The 20,445-nt window shown below is 36.0% G+C and overlaps 1 protein-coding gene across 6 annotated transcripts in view; it reads right to left on the minus strand.

Moving 5' to 3' along the window:
- Positions 1-20,445, minus strand: part of ZNF385D (zinc finger protein 385D) — a 960,546-nt gene extending 940,101 nt beyond the window's left edge. For all 6 annotated transcript variants that reach the window (XM_017007192.2, XM_017007191.2, XM_011534122.3 and 3 more), the window contains exon 1: positions 20,132-20,445. In XM_017007192.2, the coding sequence (XP_016862681.1) occupies positions 20,132-20,237 (106 nt within the window). In that variant the 5' untranslated portion in view covers positions 20,238-20,445. The remainder of the gene's footprint in view (positions 1-20,131) is intronic.

The raw sequence follows: 20,445 nt of genomic DNA on the forward strand, positions 1-20,445 counted from the left end.
AGGTGAGTTCACCAAGGCATTGCAAAGCATTTTAGGCAGTTTAGATCCATTTAGGTTAGCAGAGCCTCCTTTCACAATCACACGTTATCTCTGTTCCTGTGCATGACACGGTGTGACTGAGGTTTGCATTTTCCAAGGTGAAAAATGTGATTCACAGCCCAGATGGGCGATTTGTCTTAAGATTCTTGGATTTCAAATTAAGAGATTTCTTTGGATCTTTGATTCTTGTAATATAATCATACCCTAACACATTTTTAGTGAGTGGCTTTATCTTGACCTTACTGAACACAGCAACCATCCAGGTCTCTATAACTTCCTATCACTAAAGGTTTATGTACAAACATCCTGAGGTTTTCACCAAGCAATTCCAAATTATAAGCAAATCTGAGTAATTCATTCACTCTAAACATATTCAGTAGATAAAAATTTGGAGGCATACATAGTTCTCCACAAACAACTATTACGTGTTTTCTGTTCAAGTCCCTCTTTCCATTAGATAGCAGGTTCCTATCACATTTTAGTCTAATTCTATAATCTTTCAGTCACTTTCAAGTTGTTAAGAGTCACTCAATATCCATTTTAAAACCTCATTTTCGTATGTGATTAGAAGCTCTCTTCCTTCCCTCCAAGCCCTAGAGTTCTACATGGAGGGACATGAGGCCTCATCTTATGTCACGATGTCTTTGTTTCTAGATGGTTCCTTATTCCACCAAAGATAAGGTAAGAAGGAAGAGGAGGAAAAAAGATGTTGAGTTCTCTGCATAGGCAGTAGCTAAGGAAGCTGCGTTTGTTACATCCTATTCCTTCCACCTCAAGCAAATTTCTGGTGTGGGAAGTCTGGTTTAGCTTAAATCCACAGGCCTGCCAGAGCTTCTTGCTACTGGAATCTCTTCATTCAGTGTAGGTCCCCCTATTAGAAAAATGGGGCCATTCACTCATCTGTGCCATGCCAAGTAACAGAAGCACAGGCTGTGCCCTTGGCACTGCCTCTTTGAATTCCACCATGTCTCCTGGACCATGACCATGCCCAAGCAGCATCAGGTTGTCATCCAGGTCAGTGGTTCAGAAAATTTCATGCAAAATACAATCACTTCTCCCTGATTTATTGTTGCAGTCTCTGTATATTTGGTAGCCCTCCAAGTACAGGAGATGTGCCCAATTTGAATTCACGATGTCCTGATATAATTGCTTGCTATGTGCCAGACCCTGCCATCACAACAATAGAATGTGGAGATCAATCCTATGTCCTCGGACTGTAGCACTATCCCCCCTTCCTTGTTGCAGTTATTCACTACCCACTTCAAAATTTTAGATCTTGTCTCATGATCACTCTTTTCAAAACTACTTTTGTCATAACTCATGGTGATTTCAATATGCAATTAGACAGTCCTTCTACAGTCCTGTTCCTTCACTCCTTTAACTAGAGCAATCTTACTCTCCATCCTACCTCAGCCACACTCTCATCTTTACACTTTCCTATTAACTGAGCAAATGAGTGTATCTTTTCCCAAATCTCAAACATCTCACTTGCCAACCTCCTATCTTTCTGGCTCACATGTTCTACTACCAGGACTGAAATCATTGTTGATCTCCCTCCTCCCCACATTTCAGTGTTCCTCATTTTCCTTCTTATCCAATATAAATTCCATGGGCAATCATTCTAATCACAAACACATATGCACCCTCCATTCCCTTGCCTTTTTCTTGCATTATCTTCTTTTTTTTGGTTGGCCAGACCATAGCTCTGTTAACTCCAATGCTCCATCTGCTTCTCACTAGCATCCCCTCTGCTGAATGTGGAAAGAGAAACATAGTTATACTGATTACTGGATTTTTTATATCGCCTTGGTTTGAAAGCCAGTTCTCCAACTCCCCATCCCCATTTTCCAACTGAGTAATCTTAGGCAAGCTATGAACATTTTCTGTATCTCAGTTTCTTCAGTTTTTTTCATTTACAAGATGAAGAAAACATCAGTACATATTTCAAGTAGATACAGTAAGGATTAGAGTTAATGTATGTAAAGTAGTGCTCCACACTTAGTCTTGATAAATGTTGGCTGCTGTTGCTGCTATTATGAAAAATATTTTTCTATCTTTGAAAAACACAAACTCAATCCAAGAGACACAGTCAAATACCTTATAAAAATTTAATTATCTCCAAAATATGACAGAAATCTTGATAAGAAGGAAATGAATAGATTGTATTCATTTAAATTAAATTGTATTCATTCAATTAAATTGAATAAATAATGTATAATAAATTATACATTAAAACCTTAAGGAATTATTTAGTTACCATGGTTTTAATGGTATAACAATATCCATCAGGCACGTTGTCTTCAAACTAGTGACTCCCATATTGTTTTTATCATAACCTTAATTTTAAAAATGCAGACAATAACAGAGAACATCAGGAAAACATATAATCAATGACTCCTTACCAGAAACAATCATGATGAGGTCCTTGGAGTATAATAGTCTTCTATGCCTGTGCTGTTTAATATGGTGTTGCGGTTATTTAATTTAAGCAAAATTTGAAATTCAGTTCCTTAGCCACACTAACCACATTTCAAATGCTCAATAGCCACGTGTCACTCATGGCTACCATACAGGAAAACACAGATATAGGAAGAACATCACCCTCACTGCAGAAAGTTCTACTGAACAACATTGTTTGTACCCTTTATTATACAAATTTAATTATAAAATTGGATAAATTGAAATTATACATTTGTTTGTGAGCCTCTATATTTACTTATGATATAGTAAGTGTATTTCAATGTCAATAGATGTATTTTCTGCCATATCATGTATCATGTTGTTGGAATGCATTTTCGTTCCTTTATATAGTCTCCATCAACTTGCAAAGAAAGTTGCAACTATAAACTTATCATCAAATCTTTATGGGTATGAGATATTTTCATTAAAAAATACATTGTAGAAGAAATTCCCATAAGTTGATTCGTTAGATCAAATAACATGCATAGTTTTTAATCTCTGGATATGTTTTCAACTCTTTTGCAAAGACTCATCTGAATCTATACATCTATATTTTACATCACACATATTCTTTCTAACATAGTTACTTGTTATGTATTTCAGTAAAACAACAGTCAGACCTAGGAAAATAACAACGTATGATATAATAAATAAAATAGGAGTATACAAAAATGAAATGAAGTCTCAGAGCACCAGCTGTTTAAGAGAACTAAAAAGCAACTAAGACAAAGAAGTCAATCAGCTCCATGATGACTTAAAGAAGGTACCTGGAATGAATTCCAAGAAATAAAGGAAGAAGCTGGCCAATGTTAGCAAGATGATGAAAGAAAAGATCCTCTGTTAAAAAAAATTCCAGGAAAACTTCTAAAAATCAACGTATCAGACATGAAGCAAGCTAAAAAATATATTATGGAATTAAATCATCTATAGAGTATAAGAAAGGAACATTCATTTGTCCTTAACCCAAGGAATAATTAAAAACAGATTTTTGGGATACACAGTATACAACCATATCACAAATTTATCAGTAGAACATGTTAACAAAGAACAATTTATTTTCAGGTCATAAAAATATAGAAGCTACAACACATGAAAAGCTGTGTTACAGCAAATAGACACATAACTCAGTAAATTCTGTGTGTTATCTTGTAAGTAGCATTTTTATGCATGTAGGCTAAAAATATTTCCAATTACTTTCCAAAGATCCAGCATGTAAAAAACCTATGCAGAAAAATAAAACTTGTTAATTTGTGTAGGTATATGAGTCTATGTAAGCAAATATGCGTGTTTTAAGCAGCTTGAGATTTAACTACTTTGAATTCCAAGGACTGTGTGGAGGTGGAAATCAAGACACCAAATCATACAAATACCACACAACAATGCATCTATGTTTATACCTCATAGGTACTCTGTTTTGCCTTATTATTGGGCATTTTAAAATGGTCTACACATGAAACAGCAAACCACACAGGAGGTATATTTCAATGGGTATGGTATGAAAAGTTTTGTATATGCTGTTGTTTCAAGTATTATCTTTGTATGATTTCTCTTTTACTATCCCTTGATTTTTTAAGGAAAGCATTTTACAGTGGGTATTTGAAGTGGGGCAGCAAATAGTGAGGGCAAATCTAAGAAACGTGAGAAGCAGATAGAAGAGGCCAGACACAATGTTGTCCTTGGCTATAGAAACTTCCGTCTGAATGAGATTCCAGCAGGTCTTCTGTGCTAGAACTCTGTTTCCCAACTGATCATCTTTACAGCTAAGATTTCAAGGAAATATAAAGATGTGGTTGCAAGTACTGTACGAATATTAGATAGGTAGATAATACATAGAATGCAAAGTGTTATGACTTAATTCCTTAAGAGATGGCAATAGAGGAATCGACGACAAATCAAAGACAATGCCATTCAAATGGGATATTTCTGAGTTTAGTCAATGCAAAGTGATTAGATAGACAGATGATAGAGTGATAGAAAGATAGATAGATAGCTCTGAACATTTTACAAAGTAGATTCAAGGTGAAATATTTAAAAGAAAGAATAAGATAATATCATATATGAAGAATGGGAGGTTTGAGTGGTAATAAAATCAGAGTCTACTATTAAGTGAGTAAAACATTTACTATCCAAAAAATACCCTATCTTCAGAATGTATAGGAAACAAGATAGCAAGTTATAATAAAACCTACATTTTACTGAGCATATTAATTATATGAAAAAGTGCAAGAATAAGCATTAGCACATAAAAAGAAAATTCCATCATTGATTATCAAGAAGTTCACATACATAATTACATAGTACTTTTCCTGTCTTAACACAATGAAGCTTTCGGATGGGAAGAAAAATAGACCAGAATATATCATTATCTCCAAGTTTCCAAGTGAACTTGAATTGTTTTTAAGTTTCAGGAAGTGTTTAAGGGAGAAAATACAAACTGAAGAGTAGTTCTGAATTATAGTAATAAATGCAGTAAGAAATAGCTGTGGTTGGTGGTGGACAGGTTTTCTCACAGACCCTCTACTACTTTTCAATTAGATGCAAGACAGATAAATTAATGTCACTTATAATCAAGCAAATACTTTTACAGTCTTAGGAAATTCTTTTTAATGTGGTGATTTTAAGGTGACTGAAAAGTTTAGTAGAAAACTTGGAAGTGCAGATATAAATTCTTGGAAGCATACAGTTATGTCTTTACAGTATTTTATTTACATTTCTACTGTAGCATTATATCAGTCAGGATATGCTAGGTTATGCTAAACTATCAAAATCCTAAAATTCTAGTAACTTAAAGAAAAAAAAACTTATTTCTTGTTCCTTCAGTATATTCATATTAGGTCAACAGGTCCTCTGTTCCAAGTTATTCTCTCAGGGTCACAGGTTAACAAAGGCTTCACCATCTGGAGTACTGTTTGTCTCTGACAAGAAAAGGGAACTTTAGCAAATCACACACCAACTTTTAACATCTTCTGCCAAAAGTGACATATCACTTCCATTCACATTTCATTGGCCACAGCCAATAACATAACTTCTGGAGTAATCTAACTTCAAGGGGGTGGAGAATTGCAATTCTTCCAGGTGATCAGAAGAAGGAGAACAAGAAATATTAGGAAACAGATTTAAACATTACAAGCATTCGATATGCTATATTTTAAATGGTCTATTTTTCTCTTTCCCAGTTACCTTTGAGCTCCTGGAAAGAAAATGTTGAATTATATCCATATTTCCAAAGTTTGTACCTTATGCAGTACTGGGCACTCAATAAATATTTGTCGAATGAATAACAGGGACAGTCAGCAGTGTCAAATATTTCAGCATGTTCAAGAAGTAATACTGAAAAGAGACTTTTGGATGTGACACAAAGTTCACTTGTAATAACTGAAAAATTGTCTCAGAAATATGACAAATTGAGGTGAGGAAATGAAGACAAAGCATAGATACTGCCCTTTCCAAAAGTCTGGCATCAATTCCAAGGAAAGGTTTTCCAGATCTCACCATTGTTGAGACCAGTCCTAAATTCCATCAATATGCCCAAGGTGGCAGAGCCTCTGCAAATATTCAAGGAAGACAGCTTCATTTTTGAACAAAATGCAACTTTGTTCAAAAGTTGCATTCTGCATTCAAGTAGCAGCTTGAAGAAAGTTATTCTATATAGAGGACAATACAGCAGGTCTGGTGGGAGAGAGTGAAGTTTTAAGAGAGAGGATGAGTAATTGATGAAATGTTTAGGCAGCACCAGGAGGAAGTGCGGTCATAAAATAAGTGGGCATTGGGACAGTAATCCTTTTGAGATGAGGAGATTTGAATCAAAATGGTGGTAAATAGAGATGTGACTTGTAATAAAAGAGAAATTTTGGAGATGTGCTTGCCTAATGGTCTTTATTTCATCTGAGAAGCAAAAATAAGATACTATTTTGAATGTGGAGCAGGCATTGGACAGAGGACTTAAAAAGCAAGGAAAAATTTAGAATGGCCTTTACAGTAACAGAGCTACCAGGGATTACAATGACTGAACAGCATTGATAATGGATGCCTAGTGGGGCTTAAATGTTAAATGAAAAAGACACTCACCTACACAGTTATTGGAACCATCTGTATGACTTAGTGTCTAGATATCATAACCCTACAAGACATCTGGTTACATAGCCAGGCCCAGTACCAAGGAAATTCAAGCAGATGATCCCTTTCTGACATTAGGCAAAAAAGTATACTGCCTTGACTACCCGTATTAAAACAAACAAACAAACAAACAAAAAAACCAAAAAAAAAAACAAAAAACAAGAAACAAAAAAAACACTTGATAACTACGGTTGATTATTTTAACTTAATTACTGGGAACAAAATGAAAATCCAATGTTGAATAACATCTCAGTGGTCATTTTAGGTCTACCATCATTAGTTAATGCTGGGAGGACACTGGAATTGATTCGATTAACTTAAAATATACACAGAAGTATTATTATGCTACATTCAAGAGGTTTTTCTGTCTTGTAGAATCCAGTATCACCTAAAAAATGAGCAGGTGTCTCATAAAAGAAGAACAGATGAGATTTTTAAAAAGTTTGCATTTTTGTTCAAAAATGAAGCAAAGTCTTCCTCGAATATTTTCAGAGGCTCTACTACCTTGGGCATATTGATAGAACTTAGGACTGGTTTCAGCAATGGCGATTTCCAGAAAATAAATGTAACAATACTAATGACAGGACCCTTTTAGGTTCCCCATATTTAGTAATATATAATGATAACGGAGCAATCATTGTAACTCATTGTGTGTCAAGATTGGTATCTACCATTTAAATGTACAGAAATAGTTAAACTCTGAGAAAACAGCCTTGGTATTGAGAGACAGTCATGTCAAGAAGAAGTGGAGCTGAATGGAAGGGTAAAATGATGAATTCAGTTTGAGATAACGGGAATGCCAGTTAAAATGATAGGAAATAGTGTCCTATACAGATAGTATATGTCTCATTGGTAAGGAAACTAGTTATGAAACATATATAAACAAATGAATTTATAATATCATTTATATTTCTTGGCCATATGACTATTTTTTAAACCTGTGTTATAAGAGAGAATTAGATATACATACTAGCGGCAACATAATGTTCAATAAAAAGGTATTTTACATGTATAATTGAGTTCTTAAACGTATGTATGGAGCCACTTTTTAAACATGAATGGGAGGCTAGAGCAAAGCTGCAAATAAGAAACAGCTTTGGCTGGGATTACCGTGATTATTAAAGCTGTAGGCACTTGACTAGCTTAAAAAATCTCCTCTTTGGTAATGGTTGTGATGTTTTCTTGGAAAGTATTCACAGTTTAATTCTTACAACTTGTCTCATTTTCTGAAAAATTTTAGGAACTAAGAAGCCAAATGCTAAATAAACCATAGCTAGTAATGAAAAGCATTATTTCTTTCTTTAAAACGTGTGCCTGGTACTTACGTTCTTTTAGGCCAAACTACTTTTATTATTTTCCACGAAGGTATGCCAAGCCATCCTCAAACTAGCCTCTCAATGACTTCCAAACTGCTTCAGTTTGTATGCACACATTATACTCCCATCCATACACAGACGCACTCATGAAGTCAGTGCCACAGGTTTAGTTCCAAACACAATAAAGATTGCACAGTACTTGGCAGTATCTTAAAGGACATGTTCCACTCTGTTTTCTATATACTCGAGGATAATCATCCAAATTTTAATAATATATTAATTTTATCATTTCTTAGACTCGATTTATTAAAACCTTAGTAAGAGCCAGCTTCCAAGATTCATGGCTGTTTATTTCAGTAACAAAGTAATGACATGAAGTCTTAAGAACTCTTTCAAGGTGGAACGAATACCAAGTCCTCATATGCCCTATTCACAGTAGAGAGCATGAAAGGCACTTTGTGTTGACATACATTGTCTCACTCCTCTGTTCATGCTTTAACTGTTAGAAACCAAGAAACAACGCTTCAACTTTAATGTTTAGACTCTCCTTTAGTGGGAATTTATGAAACAGAAATGAATAACTGTATTCCTATGAGATGCTATTAATCGGGGCGATCACTCAGTTGGCACATTTTTGTTTCTTTCAGGTTATACAAATTGAGAACCTTCTAATATTATTTGATTATGCGACCTCTCTAGAGATCAATCACTATTATTACCCAAACCTTTTGTTATTCTGATACACAAGGTCGATTATTAAAATATCCCATTTCATTTATGAGGAAAAAAAGTCACAGCCTTTGCCGCTCAAAACAAAACTAGTTGATGTTGCATCACAAACACATCTGGGAAAGCAGTTAAGTTGCCAGGTTTTGAATTATCAAAGGGATGATGTAAAAACAAATTCATTGAATAACACAGAATTTCCAAACTCAGCTAATGGACAAGATGATTCATTGTTCCAATGTGGCAAGACTAAATAGAAAGCCAACAACTGGGAAAGGACAAAAATGCAGAGACTGGAAACTTTCAAACTTGGGCATGGAAAGCAAGCAATTTGCTGTAATCAGAATGTAATAAGTAGCATTAATTTATAGGAAGATGTCTTTTAGAGAACCAAATTAGCCTAATCAATTTAGAAACTTATTAATGGCCCTGACAATTTTCCTTAAGGACCACATCAAGGTACAAAACTGTTAAAGTCACTTCAGCATTCGCATAAAAGTAGGTTATCTTCACATCAAATCTGACTGTGGTTATGAAGCCTATCTTGGAGTACATTTTGAAGCAGTTTTCAAATTAAAGTTTCATTAGTGCTCCCTTAATACTGTCATTTATTGATTGTTCTCATCTCCATTCCATTCATGTACTATCATTTTCCTCCAGTGAATCATTCCAATGTATGATAGACTTAGCAGAAACTATTTCTCTGTATATGTGGAAAGAGGAGGAAACTATTCAGGGCAGCAGAGAGACCAGGCTTTGAGTCAAAAATAGTTCACTATTTAATGTTGCCACCCACAAATTACTTGATCTCGGAAATCACTTGACCTTTCTTAGTTTTGCTTCCTTATCTAAAAAAAGAAAGTAAGGCCTACCCACCTAATTTGTGGGAAGAAACAATAATTCCAACAGTAACTTTTGTGTTCTGTGAAATACTATTTCAACATAAGTTTTTAGTATATGAACTAGCAGGAAAAATAAAAACATTTTGCTCTAAATAGACATAGAAATGTAAATCCCATCATTTCTAATGGCAGACGTTTGTTATTATTAGTTATAATTATATTATTAATATATTAATATGGATGTATGCTATTTGGTTTTTTCAAATCCTTTATGCCTGCTAAAACTTCTGAATTATGGAAACTTTTACTTTTGTTAAGGGCAACTTTTTAAGAAAGGAATTCTTTTTCCTGGCTTTTTTTGTAGTGGTTCTTCAATTCTTAAGAATTTAAATTAAGAACACATGTTCTAATTTATGATCTGAAAAGAGAAAACTCTAAGTATCATCTCTTCAGATTAACTTGCATTGATTTTTTTTTATTTATGAAGAATCAACGTGGAATATATTGGTTTAGACAAATTTCTGAATAATTAAAAATTATGCCACTAATAAAAAATTGTTACAGATCCAACTGTTCACCAAATTCCGTAGGAACTGAAAAACTGTATATTGAAAGCAATTTTCTAAGGTCAAACTCTTCTTTATGAGGTCCTCAAATACTTTTTTAACTCAATCTACTAGAAGCTGTCAATTAACCAGTAATTGAGATGTGTCTACTTTATTTGGGAGAGAACAAATGGAAAGGCATATCAAAATCATATCTTACAGAACATAGGTTTGAGTACTTCTTATCGTTCCGACTCTTAAGGAAATTTATCTTTATCATGAGCATCTCAATGCCTAGCTTTTTAAACTTTTTAAAAGTATAATTCAAATAGAGTACTGCATAGATCATATTTATAAAACTCAATGAATTTTTACAAGGGAACACTCCTAGATGACAGAATATTATGCTGTTTTTAAGGCAAATTGCAGAATATGTTTAGACTCTGACAGCTATTCAACTCAATTTTCTACAACCCCTATGTCTACCAGGCAGCAGAATTTAATTATTTGTTTCACAAATGTTTGGGGGCCCCTACTTTGTTCAAGGCACTGACAGGCATTGCAAGAGGCAGAAAGAGTAATAAAACAAAATCTCTACTGTCACAGAACTCACTGTCGAGATTACTGATGTTCTACGAGATCAGCAAAGAACTGAATTATCCAGGGAAGTCCAACTTAGTTCGCTGTGCCCTACTTATTACTTCTTAATAAGTTCCTCTTCGGAGAACCCAAGAAATTGATATTTTCCAGGCAAGAGAGTGTATCTCTGAGATGGCAGCAGAGGGCAAGGTCTACCACTGCCTGGACCTTGCCCACTACTGCCACCTTAGAGGTACTCTTTCTTTCCTGGAAGGAATCAATTTTCTCAGATTCCCCAAAGAGTCAAGCAGACCCCAGCTTCTAAACCATCACAAAGTCTATGAGCACTCAGAATTTGTCAGAATACGTGAGCTCAAGCTCACTGACCCGCACCCACTGTCAAAAGCATCATTAAAAGGGGAAAAATGGATAGGGCATTGTCTAAGAGGTATGTGGCCCCCTCATCATTCTAGAAATTAAAATGTTTGAAGCTGGACAAGGAGGCATCCAATAACTAAACTTCTTTATATTCTGTAAGTAAGATTCCTGTTCAAATCTTTGCTACATTAACAAGGATGTTGTTCACAGGGCCATTCAATTCCTTCTTTATGAAGACTCATGAGAAACATTTTTTTCAGATTCAGTACCAAGAATGGTTTTTTATCTGGAAAAATAGTATTCTGATTATATCTGCTTCTTTGGGTCTAATGGCTGTTTAAAAACTTATGGTTAAATTGGTGGACCAAGTCTGGTGAGTGTGTATTCTTACAGAACATAGGTTTGAGTACTTCTTTACTTATCTTTTCTACTCTTAAGGAAATTTCTCTTTACCATGAGTGTCTCAATGCTTCACTTTTTAAACTTTTTAAAAGTATAATTCAAATACAGAGTACTGCATAGATCACATTTATACAACTCAATTAATTTTTACAAGTCAACACTCCTAGGTAACCAACACCCCAAAGCATGAAGCAGGACATTTTGGCATCTTACCTTCTCCCTCAACATTAGCCACAATGTGCTTATGAGTTAGCTTTGCTTAATATTCAACTTTACTTAAATGAATCATCCTTTATGGGGTTTCTACCTCTTGATGCTCAACATTATGTTTGTGATAGTATTCACATTCTAGTCTGTAATTATAGTTATTTCATAATCATTCTAGGCTCTTATTTTTTTGGAATTTGATTTAGTGATCCTTTACATACTTTTTAAAGTCATCTTAAACCCATTATTTTAAACAAAGGTTTAGAATAAGCAATGAGTTTTGGGATATGACATCAAAGGCACTTGCAACAATGACAAAAAATAGACAAATAGGACTTTATGAAAATTTTAAAATTTTGTGCAAAAAGGCCATATCAACAAAGTAAAAGATAACCACAGACTGGGAGAAAATATTTACAAATCATATATCAGATTAAGGATTAATATCTAGAATATACATGGAACTCCTAAAATGCAACAACAAAGCAACCTGATTAAAAATGGGCAAAGGACTTGACTAAATATTGCTTTAAAGGAGACATACAAATGGCTAACGAGCACATGAAAAGAGACTCAACATCCCTAATCATTAGGAAAATATAAATCAAAACTACAATTAGATACCACTTCACCCCCATTAGGATAGCTACTATAAAAAAAATAGAAAATATGCATTGGTGAAGATGTGGAAAAATTAGAAAACTTGTATGCTTTTGGTGGAAATATAAAATGTACAGCCACTGTGGAAACAGTATGGCAGTTCCTCTAAGTATTAGAAGTATTATGTCATCTAGCAATTCTGCTTCTGAATATATTCCAAAAGGATTGAAAGTAGAGTCTTAAGGGATATCTGTGCACTCATGTTTACAGCAACATTAAACCGAAGCAGCCTTATACAACAGCTAAACAAAAGCAATCTAAGTGTCTATGGACAGTTGACAAGAAATGCAAAATGTCATATACACACACAGTGGAATATCATCTAGCCTTAAAAAGGAAGGAAATTCTGACACATGTTACAACATGGATGAAATCAAGTTATGTGAAATAAGCCAATTACAAAAAGACAAATACTGTATGATTCCACTTACATGAGGTACTTAAAGTAATCAAAATCAATCATAGAGACAGAAAATAGCATGGTGGTTGCCAGGGGCTGTGGGCAGGGAAGAATGGGGAACAACTGTTTAATGGATATAGAGTTTCAGTTTTGCAAGATGAAAAGAGTTCTAGAGATGGATGATGGTGATGTTTGCACAACAATATGAATGTACACTGAGCGGTGCACTTAAAATGATTAAGATGATACATTTCATATTATATATATTTATGACAAAAATAAACAAGATAAAGTATGAATAAGTAAACATTGTCTATTCACTGAGGGCGAAATATCAACTAATATCTAAGAAAAAAAATTGAAAAACAAAAAAGAATTCTAAAAAATGGTTCTTACCTTTCTGGTTAAACCCAAGCCCAACTAACCAGAACATCTCATTAGCTGATATTTCTATGTAATTACATTATGTGGTCAGTCGACGAGATGTTTATCTTTCTAAAAAAAATTTTTTTTTGTTTGCAAACAAACTTTATTTTAGTTCAATCTTTCACAAACATACTGTACAGAGTCTTCTATGGTATGAAACAAAGGAAAACATCTCTGTCTGTTCAATTTAACACACCACCAAAATAAAGCAATTAAGACTTTGGGGAATTCAAAGGTACAAGAAAACAAGAATGGTTATTACTAATTCCTCAGCTTTTTACCATAAACACTTGTCATTTAACATAGTGTTTGATATAGTTTCTTTTGTACTGCAAGTACTTTTGGTCTTTCCTCCCTGTAGAACAAATGAAGACTTAAAATGAACCCCATAGCATCCTCTGAAAGAGGTGAAAAGATAAAGCCCCTAGACATAGCATTCACTTCCATTAAATTTGCCAAAGGAAACTGTTAATATGTTTCTGTTGTTATTATTATTCCTGTAGGATTTATTGTACCTCACAGTATTTATTGTTTCCCAAAATAAGCATCATTAGTTGGGGATTCAGGATTTTTATTTGTGAAAATTTCAGAAACAATAGATTCTTAAAGATAAGCTAAAATTTTTTTTTAATATTTTTTAAGCTTGTCCTTATTCTTTACCTTGTTTCAGGTTATATACAGTACAATCAATCAGAGGAAGCAGAGTTCAAAATTTGGCCCTTCCTGGCTGTGTATATATTCTTTGGCATAGTTTCTTATCTCTAAAAGCAGTTTAATCATACTTCCTTGCCCCTAAAATGCTGAGGTTAAACATAAAGAGCCAACTACACCCAATACAAGTACTCAATACTAATAAGGTAGTCATTGTCTAGGGTAATGCTATTATTTATACACTGGTCTTTACACTCCATGAGGACAGGGTCTCACTTTTTCTGTCAACTTCGATATTCCCAGCACTAGCACTCTCCAGGTACACAGTAATCACTCATACAATATTTATTGAGTGCATTATGTTAGAGTGAAGAGAGCAGAAAATAATTGATTGCCCTGTACATCTTTGATTCACAATCTGATCAAAATTAAAACATATTAAAATAATGTACTTTAAAAATAAATTTCTGGTCCTTCCTGCATTTTTTACATTTTACTAATGTTGGGTCTGCTGTCTTTTCACACATCTTGCATAATATTTTTTAAAAGATGATTGTGGTAGACAAAATAATGCACATCCTCCTCCTACTCCTGTACTCCTCAGTCCTTACTGAAAATACATTAGTTCGTAATCCTTAGAACCTGTAAATGATAACCTTATTTGGAAAAAGGGTTTTTCATATGTTATTACATTAAGGATTTTTAAGTGAGATTTTCCTGGATTATAAGGGTAGGCTTTAAATGCAAATATAATTGTCCTTACAAAAGAGAAACAAAGAGAGATCAGACACTCAGAGAAGAAGGCAGTGAAGACAAAGGCCGAGATTGGAGTGATGTGGCCACAAGCCAAGGAATGGCAACAGAAGCTGGAAGAGGCCAGGAAAAGATTCTCCCTTAAAGCCTTCTAAGAGAGCAAATCTTTGCCAACATCTGGCTTTTGGCCAGTGATACTAATTTCAAACATCTGGCTCTAGAATTTTGAAAGAATATATTCTTATTGTTTTAAGCCTCCAATTTATAGCAATCTTGGTACAGTAGCCATAGAAAACTAATATATGATGATAATAAAAATGGCTAACATTTATGCCTTACTAGGTACTAGACTATTCGAAACACTTTACGTGTATCACCTTATTAAGTCTTCAATCAGTGCTCTGAGATTTATTTTCACTACTTTATAGATGAGGACACTGAGGTAAAGAGAGGTGCAATAACTTGATTAAATTCTCACCACTTTTAAAGAAAAAAAACAAGGATTCAAATCCAGCCCGTCTAGTTCTTAAACTCATACTCTTAAAATGCTACACTATGCTAAATAACTGTTTTTCTCTATGATTTTGATGTCAAGTTTTACTGTGAATAGAATATACTATGAAGTTACTGTGAATGTAGAATTTATAGCCACCTGATAACTCGGTCCAGTACATGGAACCTTTGTTCTTTACATTCCAGGTGATCTGGATGGCTTTAGGAAACTGAGACACCTAACTTCTGGAAGTTGTACTTAACTAAATACAATTTTAAAATCTAGATTTTTTTTTTCAGAATGCCTTCTGGAGTTTCCTGTGTTATTCTTTTGTTTAAGGAGCACCTGAAAGAAAAGATACATTTCATTCTTTTTTTCTTTCATTTCAGTTGAGGATAGATGGAGACTGTTGGAGAAGCAAAGGAAAAAGAAGTCTCTAATAATCTCTTCTATTATACAAATTGCGGAGAATAACTCTTCAGTAATAAAATCAGAACATATAAGATAACAAAAAAAGTTAACAGGGAACATCTGGCCTCATGTTATGAGAGACTCTCAGGAAAATCCTCAAATGTAACTTCCTAACACTGTGGCATAATAACGCATTTTATTCTCATGGGGACAAATAGGTCTAATGACGAATCAAGGCGCATCAAGATCAGTACTGTTTCCTGAAAGATGGGCTACATAACTTGCAAGGAAGGAAAATGAAAATTCTCTTACTGAAAACTTCTCACTGAAAAGACCTGTTTTGAAATGCTACATGCTGGCTTGTTTTGGTAGATATATTTCCATAAAGAGAACTGTCCCTATGTGTTGCAAATAAGGCAAAAAATTAAACACATGTTAGGATGACATTATAGGTAAATAAATAAAGTAACTAAGCGATCTAAAGGTCTCTATCCTATTCTAAAACTGTGTTCTAGTATACTCTACTGGTTTATCAGGAGGTTAGGAATAAGATACTCTTTGAGACATATCCCAATCTAGGCACACTACTAGAAGTAGTACAGAATTATCTGAATATGATTGAAACCACATTTATAATAGGATAAAGGCCTTGTAAAATAATTTGATTCATCTCTGCCCCTGGGTGTCCTTCAACTTCCTCTAATTGCAAATTTTTTATGTTAATCATGAGTTATTCCAAAATGGGAAGTGTCTTAATCAGTATGGACTGCTACAACAAAATACTATGAACTAGGTAGCTAAACAACAAACATTTGTTTATCACAGTTCTGGAGGCTGTGAAGACCAGGATCTTGGTGCCAGCAGATTCAATGACTGCGGTGGGCCCTCTTCCTGGTCTGCAGATGGCTATCTTCTTGCTGCATCTTCACATGACAAAGAAAGGGTCCTCATCTCTTCCTCATCTTATAAGAGCACTAATCCCATTACAGGGGCTCTACCCTTATAACCTCATCTAACCCGAATCATTTCTCAAAGGCTTCACCTCAAATACTATCCCATTAAGGGCTAGGGCTCCACAATATCAGTTTGGGGGAGATATAAACATTCAATCCATAGCAGGAAGACATCACTAGCTTTACCAGGCTCTAAAAAAGTAGAAGTAAATACATTTTTAATTGACTAGAATGTTTTAAATGATCTCCCGTGTGTCATCTACTTGTTCAAAATATAAATTACACTGGCAGTTTTTGGGTGTGTAATCTACAGAAGTTGATCTCAGCTTCCTAAGTGGCAATTTAAGCACTTGCTTGATTTTCAACTCACCAGCTTTATTTTATTCAATTTCTCACTTTAGAGTCCTTGTCAGAAAACTAAGAAGTACCATCTACCTTGAGTTCCAAGCTCTTGAAACATTCAAAATTACAGATCCTTTTCCAATATTAGTTTCTTCAATCTGGGATGTCAGTGTGACTCATGTTTATGGAGCTTAAATTACCTTTCAGAGATCTGGTTGTTCAAATCACCAAATAATATCAAATAAAATATTAGTCCTATTGTTTGAATATGAAACAAACATTTTTAAAACAGTAGAAAATACATACATGTGATTATAAGGCTAACCATTTACAAGACTCCCATTGTCATGAAACATTTTGCAGTTTGACGATTCAAGTTCATAATTAGTTTCATTATTTTAATACTCTTCTAAGGTTAAATATGTTAGCTACTATAAAAACCTCCTTAACTACTGCCAAAAAATAAAACAACTCTCTAGGCAAGTTATTATGAGACATGTAGATTTATTGGAAACAGTAAGATATCATGCAAATACAATGAAACATAGTAAATTATCGTTAATTTCCCCAAGATTTTCTATTTTCCAAAGCTGCTCCCAAATTTGGAATATTAATAGCATTAGCATCCCAATGGGTTTATACAAATTTTATTTGATAATTCCATTCATGTATGGATAAATGAGATCTGTGACTTAAAATATATCATCACTCTCAAAATAAAGTATAATTACAGCTAGTGAAGAAACATGACAAAGTTATCTTACTTGTTCTTACTCCTACTTTTAAAACCTCAAAATCTTTATAGACAGTACTAACATTACTTAGCTGAAGAACTCATAAGTACTGAATTTATGAAGTTGGAGATTATAAGAAAATAATGGATACTGTATACTCAGCTACCTGCATACACTTAGCAATGAGAAATGCAACATTTTAATTAAATTACAAAAAAACTAAGTTAGATGTGACTCATCTAATCTTCGTTACTATAGATGAAACACTGTTTTCTTGAATTGCAAACATTTTCATTATTGAACTTTTGATGCACCTGGTAAATAGCAAGTCACAGCAGGGGTAGTAATTGTTTTGAAAATACTGTTTAAAATAAAAGGGAAATTTTAAAACAAGCTGCTTGTACCTCTTAATGGAAATTTAAAATCCTGTCAGGATCTGAGCTTTAATTATAAGCTGGCTGAAATATGGAAGTGTTCATGTAGACCTCAGGATAACTCTATAGTCACACAAATATGATGTTAGCACCAGACATGTTTGATGTTATAAATCACACATTGTTAAGACAAGGGCTATAATGTAGCACTATTGATTTACAATAACAGGACTCAAAGAACGTCATTCAAGATGAACACTAAGATCTCAGTGTTCTGCCCTCTCTAAAGCTGGCAGTCCGAATTATATAAGTGCCACACAATTTTTATTTTATTTCACATCTACAAATTCTGCATTCTGTTATATTAAATACCTGAAATGGTTGGGTATGAATCAATCTATGGTATTACAATCACTGTATGAATTTTTCATGGAATTAAAACTTAGAGAGGTTTATTGCTCTCATTTTTCAAGTGAGGCTCAAAGAGGTTGTGTAGGGGTTAACAACCGACTTTGGAGTTCTGCAATCTTGGATTACAAAACACTAACTGTGGGACTTTTCCCAATTTAACATCTCTAAATCTCCTTTTCCTTGTCTACGGAATGGAGATGGTAACAACGCCACCTTCTTGGGATTGTTAGGCATTTACGTTAGCTGTAGAGTTTGGTGTTCAGTGAATGGGAAACACATTTTAGGTGTTATTATTATTAGGTAACCCCAAAGATCTCTCAGCCACATTGTCATAGAGCAAAAATAATTCAGAAGCCCCGATTTTTGCCTCAGGTCTCTTTCTCCTAACACAGACAACTTCCAGCACTTCATTTCCTTAAATCTGAGATAATACATTAACTCAAGATGTTTGCCCATTCCCCTAGTCTACATTTTAGCTCCATGAAGAGAGTGCTCAAGTTAATTTCTAAAAAACATCTGGAAAGAAATGTGAAGAAATTGCAGCAAAGCCCGGACATGCTGTGTTGCATCAATCTACATAATTTGAAATGACCCATATTTGCCTTTCATGCTTAGAGACCAGAGTAGTGTGACTGAATTACCAGCATAGGCCAACGAGTGGCACGACAACCCAGAGGGAGGAAGACCTTTCCAGTAGGTTTTAGAAAACATCGTGAACCGGAATTCAGTGGTCACCTGAAAGGCACATTTCACAGACCAGCTAGCAAACAGACTCAGCAGAACAGAGATGATTTCCCCACCATATTCCGGGAACACCGCAGAATTAGCATAGAACAGCGCCAGCTCTAGGGTCCTTAGTTACACCTACAGAATGTCAGATGTTCTCAGTCAGTTCAAGGTTCCAGAATTGAAGACACTCCAATGCCCAGAAACCACGCATCACTCGTTTGAAATCACAGACCAGCTCGGGCTAAAGCACTCATCAGCACAATCTCCAGAAACACATGAGGTGGACAAGCCTGATTGTAAGGGGGACAGATCTGGAATTGGGCATTTCACACAGGGTGACACCATTTTGGAGGCTGCAGGTGTCCTCTGACCCAAATTCATACACACAATAAAACATCTCCCAAAATGCAAGAGGTCAAAAGGTACACAACTCTGTGCTCTCTTCTAATTTGCTCCTCCAGGTACTCAATGGAAGCGTAAAAAGAGGCACTAGCTGGCCAAGAAGACAATCAGATTCAGGAGCCCTGGCTTACACTCAGCCTCCCAACCCCACCCTAAATGTCAAAGTGATTTCCTTGGAGGGACGCTTCATATAACTCAAGAGCTTCTCATCCTGCCCTCAAAACGCGTGTATCTCAGGTTTTTTTAAGTATTTGTTTTAAAAAGAAGAAGAAGAAGAAGGAAATGAAAAGGAAGCAGGAAGCTGTCCCGCTGTGTTTCTTTATCCCAACAACTTCGCCAGGTTTCCCCCGAGGAGGGAGCACGCCTCGCACACACCCAATGAAAGACAGACAGCAGGACGTCCTTACCGGGTGGCCCAGCCCTCGACTCTGGACAGAACCAGGCTGACCTCGCCCCCCCGCCTCGGCCTCCCCTGCCCCTTGGTTCTCGGCAATGAGCTGTGACCTGAGACCCTCCAGCTCCGCGCTCTTCACTCTGGCCCCGCAACCTCACATCTCTTCTCCTTGGCACCGAGAAGAGGCTGGGGTGTGTGGACCGATAGTGCGGGATACCGAAAAGGTGGTCCAAGGTCTGGGCGGTGCGAACGCCCATTCCGCGCCCCCCATGCGAGCCCCAGCCCCTCGCGCCTGGTATCCCGCAGGGGCGCAACCCTAGCTCCTTGCCCGGCGCCCCAACGAACTCCGCCACCTGAACCGAGACACCTCTTTTTGCACTCAACTTACCGCGGCTGGGCTGAGCTTTCGGCGCCCCCAGGAGCTTTTCTCTCCTTCCTCCCACCGAGCTCTTCATTCTCCTGCTGGCGGCCGCCCGGCGCCCTGGCCCTGGCATCCGGGAGGAGCAGCCGCCGGGGCTGGCTGTCCCGGGAGACGCACGGCTGCCCGCCTGCAGCTTCAACGGCGGTGGTCGCCGCGAGCCGTGAGCGGCGGCCAAGGAGAACGGTCTCCGTTGCGCAGCGCGTGCTGTCCCTCCGGCACGGGCTGGAGGTGGCAGTCAGCGCGCCTCTGCCTCCGCCGCGCTCGCGGCGCTCCGCACGAGT

This window comes from Homo sapiens, chromosome 3, assembly GCF_000001405.40.
Source record: "Homo sapiens chromosome 3, GRCh38.p14 Primary Assembly".
Classification (NCBI taxonomy): Eukaryota; Metazoa; Chordata; class Mammalia; order Primates; family Hominidae; genus Homo; species Homo sapiens.